At 47.5% G+C, this 20,654-nt stretch overlaps 1 protein-coding gene across 23 annotated transcripts in view, besides 3 other annotated features; it reads right to left on the bottom strand.

Annotated features, from left to right (window-relative positions):
* The window catches only part of IL1R1 (interleukin 1 receptor type 1), a 109,485-nt gene that overhangs the window by 20,793 nt on the left and 68,038 nt on the right, over positions 1-20,654 (bottom strand). For 7 of the 23 annotated variants that reach the window (XM_011511115.3, NM_001320978.2, NM_001288706.2 and 4 more), the window contains 2 exons: positions 5,065-5,141; positions 1,297-1,363 (listed from right to left, as the gene is read on the bottom strand). In XM_011511115.3, coding sequence (XP_011509417.1) covers positions 1,297-1,357 — 61 coding nt within the window. In that variant the 5' untranslated portion in view covers positions 1,358-1,363; positions 5,065-5,141. Of the gene's footprint in view, positions 1-1,296; positions 1,364-2,835; positions 2,937-5,064; positions 5,142-8,051; positions 8,101-16,030; positions 16,337-16,626; positions 16,777-16,932; positions 17,040-17,163; positions 17,292-17,449; positions 17,504-20,654 lie in introns of those variants that run through there. The other 16 variants (XM_047444180.1, XM_005263934.5, XM_047444181.1 and 13 more) reach the window with 13 other exon arrangements.
* Positions 15,119-15,413: an enhancer, noted in NCBI's record as "tiled region #11985; K562 Activating DNase matched - State 4:PromP". NCBI's record gives its function as "activates a minimal TATA promoter and a strong SV40 promoter by Sharpr-MPRA in K562 cells {active_cell/tissue: K562}" and the evidence as "EXISTENCE:reporter gene assay evidence [ECO:0000049][PMID:27701403]".
* Positions 15,119-15,473: a biological region, named in NCBI's record as "Sharpr-MPRA regulatory regions 1871 and 11985".
* Positions 15,179-15,473: an enhancer, noted in NCBI's record as "tiled region #1871; K562 Activating DNase unmatched - State 4:PromP". NCBI's record gives its function as "weakly activates a minimal TATA promoter and a strong SV40 promoter by Sharpr-MPRA in K562 cells {active_cell/tissue: K562}" and the evidence as "EXISTENCE:reporter gene assay evidence [ECO:0000049][PMID:27701403]".

The following is a 20,654-nucleotide window of genomic DNA, read 5'->3' as shown; positions in this document are numbered from 1 at the left end:
TCAATGGCAATTTCACCTTGCGTTTGCGCAGGCCAAAATTCCCTGAGATAATTCTTGATTCTTCTCTTTCCCTCACATCTCACATCTGACCCAACTCCAAATCCCTCTTGGTTCTGTTCCCAAAATATTTCAAAATTTGTCTACTTCTCACTTCTCCTTGCCACCCTTTGACAAGCCATCAACATTTCTTGCCTAGAGAAAGCCATCATCATGGCTTGCCTCTTCACTGGCTTCTCTATTTCTCTCTTTGGCTCCCTCGGATCTATTCTCAAAACAGGAATCAAAACGTAAGTCAGATCACCTCTCTGGTCTTAAACAAAGAACCCTGAAGTCTTCCCATCCCAGCCAGACTACAAGCCAAGACCCTAAAAAAGGGCACAACATTCCATATAATCAACCCTCTGCCATCCCCCCATTACCCAGACAGCCTGGTCCCTTATGACTTCCCTCATCTCTCACTATGCTCCAGACATGCTGATATTTTTATTCTGAAAGCCTGCCAAATACTCTTGGCCTCTGGGCCTTTGCACATGCTGACTGGAATATTTCCACACCCCAATCTGATATCCAAATAGCTCTCTTTTCCCCTTCCTTAAGGTCAACTCAAAAGTCAGCTTCTCAGGGAGGTTTTTTTCTGGCCACATTCAAAAAATTAACCTTCTGCCCACTGTAATGCCAAAACCTTATACTCTTTTTTCCTCCCTATACTTGCCATCATATGACACAATATATGTCTACTTATCTGTTATCTCTCTCTTCTACAAGAATATAAACCCTATGCAGGCAGGTATTTCTGTGTGCACTGTTCCCTGCTGTATCCCCAGTAGCTAGCACCTGGCAAAAAGAGAAAAGATTAGAGAAAATGAAGAAATGGAAAGAAACAGAAAAAGTAGTGTATCTTGATGACTTCCAGCTGTGGGTTCATAAAGACTATACATAATATCTCCTCCAAATGAAAGTCAGAATTTCCCATATCACACTTTCAACCAGCAGCCAAGTGGAAAGAGGCCTGGACCTAGATTGGAGACCTAGATTTTAGCTTTTGTTCCAAAACTAGCTACATGACCTTGGGCTCTCAGCCTCACTAGGCCTCAGTTTCCCACTCTATATGGGAGAGAATGAGACGAAGATGCTGAGAGGAACTTCCAGCAGTACAGGTCTATGACCAGGAGGCTCTGTGCCCAGAGATTCAACAGAGACGAGTATGAGAAATGACTCTGTTAGGGAAGGTACTTCATGTATTCTAAATAACAGATTTTCTTAGCAGACAAGAACACAAAGAAATACTTAACTTACCAGCCTCCAGAGAAGAAATCAGTAGAGCTATGAAACAAATAAGTCTGAGTAACACTTTCATATTCTTCTGGAGAAATGGAGGAACGAAAGAAAGACAAAAGCAAAAATGTTACTTTTCCAGCAAATCTCTAAAACTAAATATACCAACACCGGCCCTGTCCCCACCCTCACCCACAAGTCACACTGATGAACTGGTTTTTCTACATCATGAATGTTGTCATATTTGACTTCTGGTTAGAAAATGGGGTGGGGAACAAAAAGGGATAAAGAGTTTTCACAAAATTGAGAACAAACTCAACAACTTAAGATTTTAAACATTTCTACCTTCTGTCCCATTACACATTTCCAGTCTTGGACCCCATTTAAATTTCCCCAAATCTAGTCTACATCCAAAGTCAGCTATGCACTCGCCCCTAAGCCAGCTCACCTCTGCTTGTGTGGGGATTGGTTCCCCACTTATGTCCCCTGCTGCCAGGACCCATTTGCAAAAATCAGCCCATACTTTTGGCCAGCTCAAAGGTCATGCCTTCATTTTATATTGCAAGATCCTAAATTGCTTGTACAATAGGATATAGCTACATAGAAATGCACCCAAAAAAACTAAAAGAAATGACAACAACATTAAAATTGGGTTGAGTGGGTTTCCCCTTGTCGGGGCTTTCTATACTTTCTAAAATATCTACAACGAACTTTGTATGAAAAAAAGAGGAAAGGAAAAAAGAGAAAAAGCTCTTATCCCCTCTGCTCAACCTTAGGAGCAATGTCTAGAGTAGACCATGTAATTCTGTGCTTTGAAAACATCTGCCTTTTAATTTTTACGGGAGATTAAATTTGCCTATATTCTTATCCGTAGCTATAAGTAAGTAAATAAATATGAAAACACAAAATATTTTAACACAACACTCATTCAGATTCTAATGACATGCAGTCATTTAAATATTAGCTGGAAAATGTTCTATTTAAGATGTATTATGGTCAGGTGTGGTGGTTTACCCCTGTAATCCCAGTACTTTGGGAGCCCAAGGCAGGCAGATCACTTGAGGCCAGGACTTCAAGACAAGCCTGGCCAACATGATGAAACTCCATCTCTACCAAAAAGTACAAAAATTAGCTGGGTGTGGTGGTGCATGCCTGTAATCCCAGCCACTGGGGAGGCTGAGGTGGGAGAATTGCTTGAACCCAGGAGGCGGGGGTTGCAGTGAGCCAAGATGGTGCCACTGCACTCCAGCCTGAGTGACAGAGTGAGACTCCATCTCAAAAAAAAAAAAGGTGTATAGGTATTTTTTTAAGTTACAAAATGCTTTTTAAACAAATACAGGAAAAAAAAAGATTTTCTAACCATGCGAGACATACCCATTCATATTCTCTTCACTTTATCCCCAGTATCAGGACAAAGATCTCTAAGCCTGGCTCAAGCCTTGAAACCTACCTCAGAGCAGTAAAACTGCATTCCTTCAATATCTTTTAACTCTGACCCTTTATTCACATCAGCTGGCTTCCCAAAATAGTCTAGAATACTAGTATTATTACCATATTTACCTTTAAACTATTTACAGATGATTAAATAAGATAGAAGGCTTTGAAGCCCCGCAGTCTGGTCTATGAGCTCTTTCTGTGACTGCGTGAAGTGTGTTTTAAGTCTTTAGGATAGAGAGGAAGGAAAGAAGGGTTAAAATGTTTCCCAATCACCAGTTCCAGGCCAACCAGCTATTTGCATTAGTTTATCAACAACAAAATAAGGGCATTGCAAAATCAGATGAACACTGCCAGCTGTCGGTTCATTTAGTCACAAGACCTGGCTTGTCTGATCATTAGGCAGGGGAGAAGAAAAAGAAGATGTGTGACTGAACTTTATGGAGTGTATCACGAGATAATAATTCCAAATTAATTGTGGACAATGTTTAATCACAGGTCCAGGGCCGGTGGCCTGTACCACAAGGCAGGGATGTGACTCTCCCTGGGCCCCAGTGTGCTCAAGGGGCACAAGGGGCAATGAACCAGCTGATGTCAGACCTCATCCTCCTCTAATAGACTATAAAAGGGCAAAGGGTTATGCCCCCTGGGTCCAAGTTTACTTCTGCCCCAGAGCTGCTCTGGGAAACAGTCAGGGGGGTGGGAGTGGCCCTGTCCTCTCAGCAGCGGGCTTTTGGGATCCATGTCAATCCCCAGGACCCTGGGGCAAGGAATTGGCACTGAGCTTGGGATGGGCGTTAAGGGTCACATGACCAATGGGAGTGAGGACATCAGAAGGGAAGGAGGTGAGGGTTGCACCTAGATTAACCCACACACTCCCAACAAAAATCAACACAAACCCCATTATGTCCCTGAATAACACAGAAATTCCAAGGCAGGGCCAGGCCTGACTGGCCTCCATAGTGCTCGCAGTTGAACGGCTATCCAAGTCAGAAGTCCCTCAACATAGATGGCATGTTGAGTAAAAGCTCAGCCTCCGTGCCTCAGTTCCCCCTTTTGACAAGCAATGCAGTGACAGCATGTCATTGATGGCGCTATGTGGGTGAAATGAATGGCCACATGCAAAGGGCTTAGAACAGTGCCTGGCAAATGGTCACTCCTAAATGTTAGCTGTTGGAAACCGGCCCATGCTCTGATGACAAATAACAGTTTTGATAAAATGTTTTCAGTTAACCATTCATGTCTTTATTCACTCACTGCTGCATTCAACAATCATACATCAAATATCTATTTGGCTCTGGGAACAAAAACAGGAACAAGGTTCCCAGGGCCTGGCTCCAGGAGCTCAGCAGTTGCAGGGAATGTGGACACAGAGTTAGACTGTGATGTGGGGGTGTCTACTGGAAGAGCCATGCCCAGGGCAGGAGGGGAGACAGAGGCTAACTCAGCCTGGAGGAGGTGGAGGGGAGGGTCCAACAACATCATGTTCTGGAGCATAAACCAGAGGTGGGTTCCGAGTGGGAGGCTGAGAAGCCATAAGTTCCCACAACATGCAGAGGTTTGCTGAGGAAATGGGACTGTCATTTGCAGGTGGCAGAGAAGCATGTACAGGTTTTAAGCCAAGGGCTAGTGTATGTTAAATCTCCATTTTTTGCAGACATTTTGGCACCTGTGTGGAACATAAACTGGAGACAGGGGAGCCAGGGAGAGCAGGCCACCACAGAGGTTCATGGGAGAGAGGATGAGGGCTGGGCCAGCTGCAGTGACAGACAGGCAGGCGGGGGCATATTTGAGAACACTTGGGGCCAGAGGGGAGAAGCAGGGACAGACTGGGCCAGACTCGCTGAGGTCGGGGCAGGTAGGGCAAGGGCCAGGTTGGGGGGCAGGTTCAGGTACCCACAGACAGCTCGGAAAAGATGCTCAGAGGGTGTCACCCACAGTGTCATAGACCCAGATCTCTTGGAACGAGGTGAGCAGTACTGACTCGAGCAGAAAGCAAGAATTTGAACATGTGGTGACAGTGGAGTAAAAATGGACAGCAAGGCCTGGAAGGGGTTGAAACTGGGGAGAGCTTGGCCACAGCACTGGAACCCATCATTTCCCAGGTCTCTACTGTAGCACAGTCAAGGTGACCTGGGAAAGCAAACAGGCATTGGCTGTTACTGGGGCTGAAGCCTCCTTCCAAAATTTAATAAAACCATCAAGCTGCCCCAAAGAGTAATGTGTCAACGGAAATAAAATATTTTTGCATACAATGGGAGATAGTCCAGGGCCCCTGGATCTGAGAGTGGAGGAGTTCAGCTATTTGTGAGAAAAGGCCGGCCTTGGGACCCTGGGGTGACTCAGCCCTGTTACCTTGGAGAAGGCCTTGTCTTTTACCAAGGGGTCCAGCTTCTCAGGAGGGAGTCACCATCTTCAGAGGGTGCGTCTACCTGGGGAAGGAAGAACACATGAGTGAAGTGTGAATGAAGAGGTCTAAAGGCACCAATTGCTGTGAGGATCTCAAGAGGCATGTATTAGTCTATTTTCACGCTGCTATAAAGAAATATCTGAGACTGGGTAATTTATAAAGGAAAGAGGATTTAATTGACTTACAGCTCCGCATGGCTGGGGAAGCCTCAGGAAACTTACAATCATGGTGGAAGTGGAAGTAGGCACGTCTTACATGACAGCAGGAGAGAGAGCAAGGGGGGAAGTGCCAAACACTTTTAAACCATCAGATCTCATGAGAATTCACTCACTATCATGAGAACAGCATAGGAAAAACTGCCCCCATGATCTAATCACCTCCCACCAGATCCCTCCCTGGACACATGGGGATTATAATTTAGATGAGATTTGGGTGGGGACACAGAGCCAAACCATATCAAGGTGTCAGAAAGGTCATGACATTTAAATGATCATGAAAATGGGTCCAGTGTTTAACAAGTGTATGTTCCATAATCCTTGGGGAAAGGATACTTTCAGGAAATCAAATCACAGGGAGGGAGGGAAGAATACAAAGAGCTTGACAACCACAAGCTATTTTGATTAAACACATGCACGTGGCACTTTGCTAGACACCGGGGTGCAGAAATGAATCAAACCACCTAGGGATGCCATGGCTCAGTGCATCATCTCCGTGAAAACAGAGCTTGAGTTTTGCCAGAAAGAAATGTACTAGAGGCCAGAAAAAAATGAGCAGGCCCTGTTTAAGAAGCAGGTATCCTCACTCTTCCATTATCAAGCATGTTAACATACCTACACCCCATATCACATTAATTTAAGACAACCTCAAAAAGCTGGGTTGTGGTAGCCTTACTGCTATGTCCTACAGATCTTTCACCATTAATTCACCTGTTTTTGCAGTTTTCTTTTAGTATTTTGGAGTCTAATTTTTTTTTTTGTCTGAATCATTTCTTTGGGCCTTTGAAAAGCTTGTAAGACCTAAGCACAAGGCCTTTTAATGGCCATCAATAACACAGCCTGACTAGTTCAACACAAAGTATTTTCCTTAGACTACACAAACTAAATCCCAAGCTATTATTCACTTTGAGGCAGTACACAGCATAACACAAGGTATCAGAGGTGTGTTGGCCCATCAATTGGAATCACATCATAGCAGAAACTCAAAGGGGAGACCCCCACATCCTCCCGCTCCCAGTCCTAGGACAGTGCCCTCCTGACTGACCCCTGTGAGTATGCCCCAGATATGAAAGCAGCTGCTGGGAATTATATAGTGAATGGCACCAAAATGTATGGAATGGGAGAGGGGGAGGGGGAGGGGAGGGATGGATTTATTTGGGAGGCCCAGGAAGCTTCTTGCAGAGAAGGTGACTCCCCACACTCTTCTTTTTTTTTTTTTTTTTTTTTTTTTTTTTTTTTTTTTGAGACGGAGTCTTGCTCTGTCCCCCAGGCTGGAGTGCAGTGGTGCGATCTAGGCTCACTGCAAGCTCTGCCTCCCGCATCCAGGCCATTCTCCTGCCTCAGCCTCCTGAGTAGCTGGGACTACAGGTGCCTGCCACCACGCCCGGCTAATTTTTTGTATTTTTAGTAGAGACGGGGTTTCACCGTGTTAGCCAGGATGGTCTCGATCTCCTGACCTCGTGATCCACCCACCTCAGCCTCCCAAAGTGCTGGGATTACAGGCATGAGCCACTGCACCTGGCCCCCACACTCTTCTAATGGCCTCATTTTCCCTCCTTTTCTGCCCCAGAAACTTCACTTAAGAATTTATATACTTACTGTCTCCACCACTCATCCATTGCTGAAGCGACCACCATGTGCCCTCTAAGCTCACTGCTCCTCTGAGATGCACTGCCCAGGCCACTATCCCTCCTAGGTTCTCCATGCCAAGACCCCTCTGTCTCCAGCCCACTGAACATCTCTGCAGCACCTGACCCATCCCATCGGCCCCTTCTGCCTGACCCCTGGGATGAGGGTCAGCGCCCCCTACTCTTCTGCCTTCACTGTTCAGCTGGCTCTGTGTCCAGCGCTGGCTCCCTACCTTGCCGTTTATAAGCACCGTGCCATTCCACCTCCATGCACCTCTATGGCACCTCCTGGGTCTGGAAGTCAATTCTTCCAATCCTAGCCTGGAAGCTTCTGAGATTTCTGACCATCTCAGAGCTGATTCTGATCAGAAGCTTCCCACAGCGCCCTTGCAGACATCTGCTCCTCCAAAGCCAGGCATGACGAGTGACACAGGCTCTCCCTGGTGCAATGCACCGAGGTGCCTTGAACTGCTGGCTCTGGGCCCCCTGGCTCTGGTAACATTGGGTAGCTCCCTAGTTGTTGGCCTTCCCTACCTGGGCCAGGGAAGAAAGCAGTGCAGAGCAGACCCTCCCCTCTCCCACACCCATGAGGAGGCCCATCCTACACATCTTGCATGTCTGTTGTAACAGCTCAATAAATACTTGTGGAAGAAAGGAAGGAGGGAGAGAGGGAGGGAGGGAAGGAATCCACCTACCTACCTACCCACCATTTTTGCATGAGACACACGGGGATGAAAACCCAACCTAGAATCAAAGAAGAGAAAGGATGGAATAAGGGTACTGGGTGTAGGTCAGAGAATAGGATTGCAAGGGAACCGTCACTGGGGTCTGGAGATGGCCGGAATCATATAAGAGAGGGTAGAATCCTACACAAGGAGTTAGATAAAGAGTTCACACCCAGATGGCTGTCGAAAGAGTTGAGGGGTGGGGATGACCCTGAGGAGAGGGAACTACAGGAATAGGACTAGAGACTAAGAAATGTTACTGCCAGAAGGCATACTAGGTAAAGAAACCTCTCTTATTCAGAACTAGTTAATCAAAGTCCATTGTAATTCTTTTAAATGACTTATAGTAAGATTCAAAACGTACCTTTAGAAAATACCAGTAACATTAAAAAGTCACAGATGTGTGTATGCCACTGTTATTTTTCAGATTGAATTTTCCACATAAAATAAAACAAGAAAGAGAAAAGGATTAACTTACTCAATACATTAATAAGCCATAGCATACGGTTCCCCCTGTTCAGCCTTCAAGCAAGGATATCTATGTTATGTGTGAAACCCCTGGACTGGCTAACATCCTCTCCATAGCAGCTTCCAGGAAAGACAGCGGGCAGTGCTGAGATGCTGATGTCCAGACCCAGGGAGTCAGCCAGATCCTAGGGTGACCCAAGGCCTAGGCTGGTCATCCCCACTTCCGGAGGCCTTGTCCATTCACTGCAGCACACCACGGCTTTATGTGACAATCACATCCAAAAGCTTGCAATTGTGAAGATCTTCCCAAATACAGCCCCCATCGCTGTTTGGTGATCATGACGTATTTGGTAACACTGGCGTATCACAACGTGACTACAGCAGCACGTGCAACACACACACAAAGTTACTTGTTGATTAAAGACAAAATGAAAATGCATATTTGAGGCATAAAGTAATTTCCTACTAGTCCCAGAATGAGAAACTGTAATGTGAAACAAATTACAAAAGTAGAAATTAAGTACAAGAATTAACAATGAGCATATTGGCCCCCAACAGAAGCCCCCCTTCCAGGAAATACTGACCTCATCCAACAGCACCTTCCTGTCCCTCTACAAGGAATTTCATACCCAGTGCACGCACGGGAAAAGTGACAGCTGGGGAGAGAGGGGCTGTCACAGGAACCCAGGTTTCTTCCTCAAGGCCTAGGGCCCAGTGCAGGGGAAGGAGGCATTTTTCCTGCTGTGTAGCCACAGTGCATTTATTAAACAGCTTCTTTTTCTTGAGGAATTTCCCACAACGTTCCTCCACAATGTTGAGGAATTCCATTCTTATTCCTGAGGAATTCCCCCACATTGTGAGCCCTGCCTTCTAGGATAGAAGCTAGGCACAGGCAAGGTGGCACACAGCAGGCGCACCCCAGATAGTATCAGAACCTGCTGGAGGTCCACTTCTGGGGACAGCGGCAGCAGAGGTGCCCAGAGCTGGGGGAAGCTCATCCTGGCACCTGGTATTCCATGTCTGTCAAAACATAGGCTGCGCTGTCCTCACCATGAGACCTGCACGGAGCAGTCCCACCGCATGGCTCCTGCTGTGTCTAGCTACATTAATCTCCATTCCTCTGTCTCTAGCCTCTCCCCAGCTCCCTTCCATATTGGAAGGGGCCCTGAGCATGCACACAGGTAGGTGTCGAAGTCCACCTGTGTCTATCCCCCTCTGTACAGCCCTGGCCAGTCTATGAACCAGGCAGTTGAGTCCATGGGAATGACCACACAGGCCCTGGAATTAGGGTCCAGGGTGTTTGGGGAGGGAATTCAGGGATCCCAGGTACATGAGGGACATGGTTAAGAACAGGGGTGCTGGTGGGTTAGGATTAGGCCAAGTGGGCACATCCTCTTGACCTTCCACACTTCTTGCCATGCTGAGGGATGTGTCTGGCCAAGCTGCAGAGCAGAGCCCGCCAAGGCATAGGGCCAAATCTCTACAGAGGCCCAAGAGGAGAGAACAGACGGCAGTAAATGACTCCTCCTTCTTCCAGGGACCTGACATAGCCAAGCCCCAAATCTGAGATTTACAAGAAAATCCTCACTGCACTTTCTACATTTCCACCTGATAGCAACACACTCTTCTACCTTCCCATGGAGTAATGAGTAAATGCATTTACAGCATCATTTAATACAGCCCCTCATCCCAAATATTAACCAATATGTGCATATGTGTAGATCTGATGTAATGGAGAGATACTTAGAAAATTAGGCTCCAACTTATTTGCCATAACTGAGAAGTGACCATGAATGAGTCCTGAAAAAACAAGGGCTAAAGCAGGTTCTTTAGCTCATGAAATGTCACAGCCCATGTGTTCTACTGAAAATCGGTGGAAACATGTACGGGGAATGTGTTACAGTACTGAAACCAAGCCCATAATTATGATGTCTTCCTGTTACCCGTTTGTTTGTTTGTTTGTTTGTTTGTTTGTTTGTTTTGAGACAGAGTCTTGCTCTGTTACCCAGACTGCAGTGCAGTGGTGTGATTACAGCTCACTGCAGCCTTGACCTCCTGTGTTATTCCTTTGTTATAAGATTCATACAGCTATTAAAAAGTCCCCATCATTGTTAAAAACAAAAATGTCAGTTTGAAAAAGAAGGTAAAAGGGACTTACAAAGCCATAGAACCACACACTTATGGAAAAAACTTTAGACCTCCATACTCACACAAGCCCTGGCTTAGAATCCACAAATTCCCAGGGAGAAGCTACAGACAGCCAGAGAGCCTGAAGTCTATCTCCCTAGGTTACTAATTTCATCCAAAGATTTTCTCAGGGGAGTTATTATTTTTCTATTAGAGCAAACACGGCTATATTATGAAGCAGAAAGAAAAATCTCCACGATCTAAGACAAAACATGAGGCTTCAAAGAAGCATCACTTGCAGTGGGCTGCTTTGGAGTGCTAGGTTGAGCCTTTGCTTTTTATTTCCCAGAAGGAATCCCTGGGAGGTAAAATCCGAGAGGCACTGTCCTAAGTAAATGTCCATAATAATCTCTATGCAATTCTGATGAGAAATGGAAGCATCAGAGCCCCACACACTCATACCTGTGGGGCAAATTAGAGGGAGTGACCTACCCCTAATGATCACAGAGCCCACCCAGGAACTTCCCTACCCAAGCTAGAGCAGGAAAGTGTGGAAATAACCACAGAGCGTGCTGGGGACCACTGTAGTGTGTTCCAAAGGTGACACAATGGTTTCCATCTCGTGGAGATTAGTCACCCACGCTCTATCATGTGCACACAACCCAAAAACCCAACTGTGTGTTCAATGTGGTCACCTCTGATTTTCCCCCAGAGAAACAGCTCTACCAAACTATGAGTAAACACTCCCACAGCAGGGAAACAGAAGCTCACTCACCATCTCAGAAAGCCCAGGAAACACCAAGCCTGGCAATGCTCCTATCAGTAGAGGAATCCTAAAGCCTTGTTCATAGTTATCAATGGCTTATTTACCCATGTAAATGGGAGAAGGAAAGTTTTATTTTTATCATTGAGGATGCACAAGGATATGAAGATAAAGTAAAAATTTCCCAAGAGGTTTCAAGTGTCGCTATGAAATCTCAATTATTCAGCTAATACAAGGCGAAAAGCCACAAGATTGGTGGTTTCAACTAAGGCATGTGGATTTTAAGGGCAAAAGTGGCAATGAGACACAGAAAGACAGGATCACCGTCACCAGATGCCACAGATGGGGATGGACCTACCCCAAGCCTCTTGACCACTAGGTTCTAGGTTGAAGTCTGACTTTTCCATCTCACCCCTACAAACCTTCTAGGGCTCCTGGACAACAGAACCAGAACCCAGAGACAGGGATGGGCCTCATCTCTTGTCCTTTGTCCCCTTTCTAAATGCCCTGCCTTGTGCTTCCCAGCCTCCCCTATAACTCCAACACATCTCCTCTCCAGCCACCAGGGTCTACGATGCCAAGGCCACTATTGCACTGGACTTGTCAAAAAGTTGACTGAGAACCAGAGACCTTTCTCCCTGGAGCACTGCCTCCCAGTCAGGCAAGAACAGCTGTTTCTCAGATTGGGATCCACAGACAGTTTCAGAGGACTAAGCCTTCTCTACAAGAATCGTTACATTGTTTTCACTTCTATAATTTTTTTATTGGGGTAAATATTTTTCACCATATTGCTCATGGTGAAACACACAAAACTTACGTGGACAGTTCCATAAATTGCAACAACTGTGTGCACCAGGAATACTTCAGGATGTAGACCATTTCTGCCACCCCTCAAAGTTCCCTTGTGGCCCTTCACCCCCACACACAAAGCACCAACCTTTCTGATTTCTAACTCGACCTCTACCATCCTACAGCAAGCAACGGAAGTGCATTCCTGATGGCTGGCTTAGACATGTCCGGTGCCCTGCTATCTCGGCACCCACGCCTGCAATGGCACTTTAATCACTCACTACCCAGCAATGCAGGGAAAGCAGTGGTTCTCAGTGGAGTGGGTATGGCCCTTGAGGGAGCATTTCGGAACCTGTGGGGAAGGGGACCCTGGGTGATCAGGATGCATTTAGCATTGGAGGCCATCGATGCTTGACATCCGGAACAACACAGGCAGTTCTGCTCAGAAAAGACTTGTCCTGCATGACCTCCAGAGGTCTCACAGACGTTCATACTGACGGAAACATATTTACAATGTTTGAAGCCTAGCCCCCCAACTCCCTTCTACATTCATATGAAATACATATATTGTTGGCACAAGTTTATACACACTAAATTTTTCAGGAATGCAATCACTGTGAAAATTGAGAGAAGAATGGCCTTTGGCTACCATCAAGACCTTAACCGAGAGTCATTCATCCTTCAGTGGCATTTGGATGGCCACTGAGACTCACCTGTTCCCACCCCATGCCAGCTGTCCTGCAGACTATAGAAAGCAATGGCTCACCTCACTAGGTTGTAGTTCAGCTTAGCTCAAGCATCTGCACACTGAAATGCATAATTTTAATACAAATTGCTTTTATTTCTCCTTAACATCTAAGTATTACATTGATTTTTTAAACTTATGTTGTAGATAAGTTTTATTATATCGTTTCAAAATTATAAAAGGGGTGTTTTAAAATATTTGCATTAAGGGGGGTGTTGGGTTTTAATGAGGTGAGACCCACTGATGGAAAGTGACACCATCTAACTTTTCATTTAACTCTTAGTCATTAGTCATTGGCTGTATTTTCAGGGATCTATGAGTTCTCACATTTGGGACGCCAAATGTGCAGAGACCAGCATGGCTAGACTCTTCCTGTTCACAGCTCGCTGAACCATGATTACCGAACTGTGCTTACAGGGAGGGTCATTTCAAGAGACCACCGAAAACTCACTATTCTCACCTCTTTTTCAGGGATCTTTAAAAGAAACTTCCCACTTCTCTCTGTGCCAAGAATGCTTTTTTTCCTGAGCACTTTGCTTTCATCTTGAAGACACTGCTGGCTGTGCCCTGCAGGGTTTCCTCTTTCCCACTGCCTACAGGAAAGAGTATTTATGTATTTATGTTGTCAACCTTGGCTACCTGGGGGGCTTTGAAAATACCCGTGCCCAGCACGCCTCCAGAGATGCTAGTTTGTTTGCTCTGCATCCAGTCCTGGCATTTCCCTGAGTGCTTCAGGCAGTGCTAAGGTGCAGGCAGAGCTAAGACTCAGGCTTCCCTCCACATTCACGGCCCCACTTGAGTAACTTTAGCAGCATCTAGGTCATCAGGGTTTACACTGCACATGTCAAGCCTCATTTCAGACTCCACTTCATCTCCGCTCTTGTTTTCCTTTTACCCTACTTTTAATTTATGAGACCCCCTGTCCGCTCGTGGGCATGAGTCCTCTTGGGAAGTGATAGGTGTCTCCATCGTGCCGCCATGTGTGAGCTCCTGGATGTGCATGAAGAGGAGACAGCACAGAATCCAACATGCAGGCGACTGGGACCTTAAAGAGCTCCAGCCCCTTTCAGTACCTGGTGAGATAACTCGGGGCCAGGGCTTCCCACATGCTCCCTGCACTAGGCATGGCCGGGAGGCTCCAGCAGCATTTCCTGGACCCACAGCAGACAACCAGAGGAGAAAAAGGCTGCTGACAGTGCAGATCCTTGTCTTGTGCCACCAGCCCACCTCACAACCTCAAGAAGAAGAAAATGCAAACCAAGCACCCATTCACGGCAACAGATGGGTAGCATCCTGGAGCTGTGCCATGGCAGGTGAGCCACAGGTGCCCCTGACAACTTCTTTTAAAATGGCAAGAACCTAGTATATCCATTATGTAGCATAAGAATATAAGGATCTCTGTACTTCTCCACCCACTATGCTATGGTAGTTTCACCGCAATTGTCCAGCTTTGCCTCTCTTATTACTGAGATGTCTTCTCCATAATGTCCCAGCTTGCAGGTGGACACTCAGCTCGCACTGATGCATCCCAGCCACAGGGTTTCCATCTGCCCTGGTCCCTGTGCATGGCCAAGCCACAGAGTGTAGCTCCACCTCCTAGAGCTCCACATCCTAGGAACTGAGGCAAGGGACACCACAAACTTGGAGAATAGCAGCCCTGCGATTCTCTAGGGAACCACAGAGCTACATCTGTGCCCATCATCTCCTCGTCCTCTCCATTGGGGCTGCTGAGTGGTGTCCTCTAGGTAGCCAGTGCATCCACACCCTTGTACAAAGGGGCGGATTTCAAAGACCCCCCTTTTGAAGAGAGACTGCTGACATCCTATGTCTTACCAAGAAGACTCATGTCCATAAGGGGACAGAGGTTTTCACTTGTCGTATTCACCGCTGTCTCCCCACCACTCACCACAGTGCCTGGCACATAGTAGATAGTCAATAAATCTTTAATAAATTAGTGAATCTACTATTAAGCAGTGTTTCAACAATGGTGAGAGGTTGACTCAAAAGATGTCACAGGTTTCAGAACCATAAAAAAAAAACTTGATGTCACATTATGACATACAAGCAGGGCCTATTAGAAATGGGGGTGCTGCTCTGGGCCTGCCAAGGTCATGTGAGAATTCAGATCAAATATCCTTTCCTGAACAGCATGGAGGCCACATGAGAGTGGACGGGTGCAGGAGACGCTTCACACACAGCAGCTTGGCAGCTAGCCAGAGACTGAAAATAAATCAGAGTTCCACACCCCTGCCCCAGCAAACCCCATTCTCAAAGGCTCTACCTTTCTGTCTAGCATAAACGTTAACATCGGATATGAATACAGAATATTAAATGAAATATCAAATGAGATATCACACAATAAATTAGAAGGGATTGAGAAAGAAAACAATGCCAATAGCCGCTTGGTAAACTGGATGGCAAAAAGGACAGTGAACGTCCCCATGCCACCTCTGGCTTTCCTCAGCTCATCAATAGTCATGGAGTTCTGTTTCATACATTCAATGTCCAGAAGCCTGGCACCAAACCGCAGCGACTGAGACATCCATCACATTCCCGTGACGAATGGACCCTTGCTCCATGACCTCAAGAGCCCAAGTTCATGGTGTCCCTTGCCTCAGTTCCTAGAATGTAAAGCTAAATCACAGGAATGTGGCCATCTGAGAAGCTACCCTGCCCCAAAGATAAGGCAGTGGAGAGACAGCCCAGCAGGAGCCAGCATCTGCGTGCCTTCCCAGCGGCCTTCCTTCCTCCCGGCAGTGCAGAGGAGAAAGCCCTGGCAGGCAGGACGAGTGGGAGGGAAGACAGAGGGGGGCTGCATGCAGAGGTCTTACCCTCCTTCAGGACATCATCCTCCAACAAGTTGGTCACCTAAACTTCTGCTTCCCCCGCTGTAAAACAGGGGTGATGACAGCACCCTCCTCACAAGACTGTAGGGAGGGTAAAAGACCAGTTGCTGTCAAGGGCTTATAAACTGTAAAGTGCTGGGCATGACTGTTGTAAATAATGAGTGTCTTCTCAGCGCCTACTTGCTTGTAGCTACATTCCCTAGCACCATCCTTTATCTGGAGGGGCAACAAGTTACCCTCCCCAGTGTGGTTAAGGCCTCAGCCCTTACCTTGTTAAGGAGACTGACGGTCCTGAGCCTAACCTCTAAGAGGGACGCTCCTGAACCTGTAGAACGTAGCCGGATAGAAAACCTGAAAGCCATTCACACGGGAAGTCACACACCTACCTAGAACCCCCCTCCAGAACAACTGGCAAGTTCCTTCAAACGACCTGAACAACGTTAACTCTTGCTCCACACAAGAAACACACACACGCAGACCTCACCGCCATCCCCTTCTTACACAACACACTCTGACAACCAAGTGCAACTTAGGGAGGACGCTCACGGCGTCCTGCAGAGCGGGGGACTCGAAGGTGTCAAGGCTGTGGTCCGTCTCACCCCTACCTAGTCCCCGGATGCTCCAGCTTCCCCGTACCTGGACGGACGGCCGTGGAGGGTGATGGGATCCCAGCCCCGGGCGGAACCCGGCTCAGCTCAGAGGGGCGAGAGCCCTAGGAGCCGAGCGAGGAGTGCTTCGGTGCGCGGGCGCGCGATTGTCACATTCCTGCCGCTCCCTGGGGCGCGCGGGGCAGGCCGGCGCCCCCACCGCCCGGCCCGGCCGCTCTCCGGCTCCTCCCGGCCGGCGCCGCGCGCTCCGAGTCGGCTCCGGCCGCCGGCCACAAGCTGCGCCCGCCCTCGCGGCCGGGAACTGCCGGGCGCGGCTCTGGCTCTAGCCCCGCCGCTGCGGGGGCGGGGAACGGGCGGAGACGGCTCGGCTGGGCCAGTCCGCGGGCTGCGAGCGAGCTGGCCGGGTGTCCCAACTCTCCACCCGGAGGAGCAGGCGCGGCTGGACAGACCCCTGCGGACACCGCCCTGCCCCGGGTAGCCCGCAGGGGTCCCGCCGGTTCCAAAGCATTGGAGAGCTGCCGGGCGCTCTCGAGTCGCGGCCCGGCTCCTCCAGGGCTGCGGCGGCTCCACTAGAGTTAGTTGAGACAACTCACCTAGCCACTACGACCTGGCTCTACTACCCCCATGGAGCCTGGCTGCGACCCGCGAATTGAGTTGGCGACTCCAGGGCATCAGATCCCGAAGCAAACGCTCGCCAGAGCGACCTCTGGAGCTTGGTGCCTGGCCAGGGGCTCTCTCCGACTGGCTTTGTGCACTAATTTCTTTGTACCTCCGTTTCCTCTTCTGTGAAAAAGGGATCATAAGAGCACTCATCTCATGGAGTGGTTGAAAACAGTTTTTTAAAAAAAATGAGCTAATACATATAAAATAGTGCCAGGCCCAGAGCTGATACTACTCACGCGTTATCTGCTGGTTTCATTGTTGCTGTTACGCGCCCGGATGAAAAAAGCAATTTAAGTGTCATACTATAAAATCTTGATACCACACTTGGGGGCAGACAGGGTTTTTAAATTTTTAAACTTAAAACCCACTTATGCCCACCAGCTCACTTTGCCAATGAGAATTCACACCCAGGGGAATGGAAGGATGGCCAAGGTCATGCAGCGAACGAACGCCTGGCAGGATCACACCTTGGGCTCCTTGCAGGGAGAGGAGGGGAGGGCGCAGTGGTCGAGTCTGCAGCTCCCTCGGGCTTTCCCCCTCCACTTCGCTAGTCTTCAGCAAGTGACTGGCCCCTCCAGCTTGTTTGGAGGTCTTCATGGGCCATCCTCCAAGAAGAGTTTTAATAAATGATGATAGCTTCCTTCCTTCTAGTACACACCGCCCCTTCCTGCATCCCTTTCAGACTGGGCAGGCTCTTGTTCTCGTAACCCACCCCTGGATATGCCTCTTCAGAAACTCAAGAATTGAGGTAACCTGAGCCTCAGCTGCCCCCGGACAAATCCAGGCTGGAGGAAAAGATGAAGGAATGAGCAGCAGAAGCTCATCTGCCCTAAAAGCTGTCTTGCAACCTGGCATGATGACAATTTCTCATTCTTAAACAATCTGTTTCCAGAAGCTTTTATGGTTCCTTTTCCTCGAGAAAGCAGGCTTACATCAGAGGCCAGTGACGTAGCATTAAGAGAATTCCTTAACAATCCCAGCTCTCAATATTCCTTTATACAGCAGAAGGTCTCACAGCCTTGACTCCACTCAGAATCACCGGAGGACATGACACTCCTGTGTTCAGATCAGTCACGTCAGAGTCTCTGGGGCTGAGGCCCAAAAGGCAGTGTTTTTAAAGCTCCCAGGTAATTCCAGTGCAGCTGGGGTTGCAAGCAGTTGTTCCTCTAAGCTCCCACAGTGATGCCATTACTGTGAATCCTCCAACTGAAGGCTGCTTCAACCACGTGTCCAAATGGCAGTTCTGAAAGCTACAGCAGGTGGGCCTGGCTCCATGCTGTGGAACCAGCCCAGAAGCACTATGATGGTGAACATAAATTCGTCCTTCCATTTTCATAATGAAGGTTTTTAAGCAGTTTACAAGTAGAAAGTGAAATTGATTTGTGCAACCATGTAGAAATAAAATCCGTAATTTTTGTCTTTTTTAAGTGTTGTCCCCGTTCAGCCACTCCTACCCAGTGTCCTGCTAGACATGCAGGCCTCTAGACCCAGGTGGGACTCTCAAACACCCGCCCAACACAGAAATGGAATTGGAAGACCTCCTCTTTCTCACCTTATTACCACTGTTCTATCTGGGACCTTCAAGTCACCTTCTCCCTCACTCAGCCATCCTGACCACTTTCACTGACTTTCTCCTTCCCTTTATTTCCTTTCCTTGGATAACTGGTGTGCCTGCCTGTCTCACTCCATCCCCTGGGTAGGAGGCTTCCGTAAGGTGGAGACTGTCATCCCTGTATCCCTATCTGCTCTGGTCTCAGCACCACAAAAATGCTCTGAGCACATCAACATGCTTTAGTGTAAAGCCTACTGCTTACACTGACATTGTATGCTAGTGATGCAATCCAATGGCCCACATCTTGGACAAAAACTTACAAGAAACAGAAATAGCATTGTTAGCCTCTGGACACCTTCCGGGGTGTCTCCCTCCCACCTCTGAAATGCTTATCATTCAGGAGACTTAACTGAGACCCTGTCCCCTGAGGGTTTTCAGTTTCTCCTCCACTTGTCTAGCTGATCAGATCCCAGGACCCTCTTTGGGAAGAGTTTCTGATAATGCACATGAAACAAAATCATATTGACCAACACAACATAATCCAATGCCTGAAAAATAAAGCATCTCCTATGGCCCATGTGGCAGGACATTTTGAAAGACTGTCCATTATAAACATTAAGGCTAGGCTTGAAAGAAGAAGTATTTTATGTTTTTTTTCCTTGAACCTCCAAAGCCAAAGTATTGGACAACTTAGACCATAAGGTTTACATCATAAACCACGGAGTACAGAAGAATGTATGGTAATGTAAAGCTATTTGTTTTTGTTCCCACTCCAAGGAACAGAGTTGACCAGCAGGTGGGAAGGGGAGAAGCAGAGGGAGGGAGCTGCTCTTTACTAGACCCTGAAAGGTTTCTGAGGAGTGACTCAGAGCTTCCACTCTTCAGCACCACCTAATAAGAGAAATCCTGGTGTGTTAGGCCATTCCTACATTGCTATAAAAAAATACCTGAAACTGGGAAATTTATAAGAAAAGAGATTTAATTCTCTCATGGTTCTGTAGGCTATACAGGAAGCATGGCACTGCCATCTGTTGGGCTTCTGAGGAGGCCTCAGGAAACTAACAATCATGACAGAAGGTGAAGGAGGTGCAGGTACGTCACGTGGCCAGAGCAGGAGGAAGCGAGAGAGAGGTGCGGGAGGTGCCACTCACTTTTAAATGACCAGATCTCATGTGAACTCAGAGCAAAAGCTCGCTTATCACCAAGGGGATGGCCCAAGCCATTCATGAGGGATCTACCCCCATGATCCAAACAACTCCCACCAGCCCCCACCTCCAACATTGGGGATTACATTTTAACATGAGATTTGGGCAGGGACAAATATCCAAACTGCATCACCTGGCCTCCTCCTGACTGAAGAGGTTGATGGAGAAGACTGGAAGAGAGGGATGCCATTTGGCTTCCCAGCCTAGTTCTGGACACCACCAGGGTCATAGCAAAGCCCCCGTGTCCAACATGGCCTGAGCCAAACAGCAGGCCTGGCAGCAGATATGCCTGGGCCTGAGGACAGGCTGCCTTGAGAAAAGTCCAGTGCATCCCAGAGTGTTCAAGTAAAGCAGCTGAGAGTCCCCAGACACTCAAAGGGGGCAGTGCAGAAGCTAAGAAGACCAAAGAGCCCTTGGACCTAGTCTGATGGGACAAGCATGGTCCTAGCTGAAGTTTTCAAGAACAGAGGATAACTCATGGACCAGAACCCCTCCCGGGACACCAGGACAACCATTCTTCAGCTCGGTCCACTTTAGCCCCACCACCCCCAAAGAACTCCATTGATCCTTCAGAAAAAACAAATGCAGGGTTTGGAAGGAAAGAATTCTGAAGAGATTGTGTTACTACCCCCAGAGAGACTGAGTCTTGAACCAGTGGGGACAAAACAACTCTAAATTAGTGAGATCTTTTTCTACCATCAGGTGGAAATGAGAATTCCTAAGTCTAGTTGGCTTCAATTGTAAAGAAATAAAGAAAATTACATTTTTGCACAGAGGGCCTCTGTGATTCTTAATTTGCTACACATATTTTTGTTATTTATGGCACTGCCAGTAAACTCTCACAGAACCACAACAAAGATTGGAAACCACTGTCCTAGATGGACTTCCTTCTACAGCCTAGGTTTTTTATCGCTCCTCTCATACATTTTCCATCTGCTGACTTTCAAGTAACTATTTTCTTATCTACATTTCGCCTTACTTTTTCTCACTACAACTTCTCAATTTCAATCTACTCAACACTCTCCCTTTCCCTAGGCAATTGGTGGTGGGCTACTATGATTATCTTTCCGTTCAAATTCCTCTGATTTAATAAAACCTTTACCAACCAGAAAGCCACATGTGAACAGGAAATAAGAGCTGATGAGAAAGTGTGACATATTTCATAAGACGGTCATAGGCAATAAACCATTTCTTAACCTCC

This window comes from Homo sapiens, chromosome 2 (genome assembly GCF_000001405.40).
Source record: "Homo sapiens chromosome 2, GRCh38.p14 Primary Assembly".
Classification (NCBI taxonomy): Eukaryota; Metazoa; Chordata; class Mammalia; order Primates; family Hominidae; genus Homo; species Homo sapiens.
Note: the sequence above shows the minus strand (reverse complement) of the source record. Positions and strands in the feature narration are given on the sequence as shown.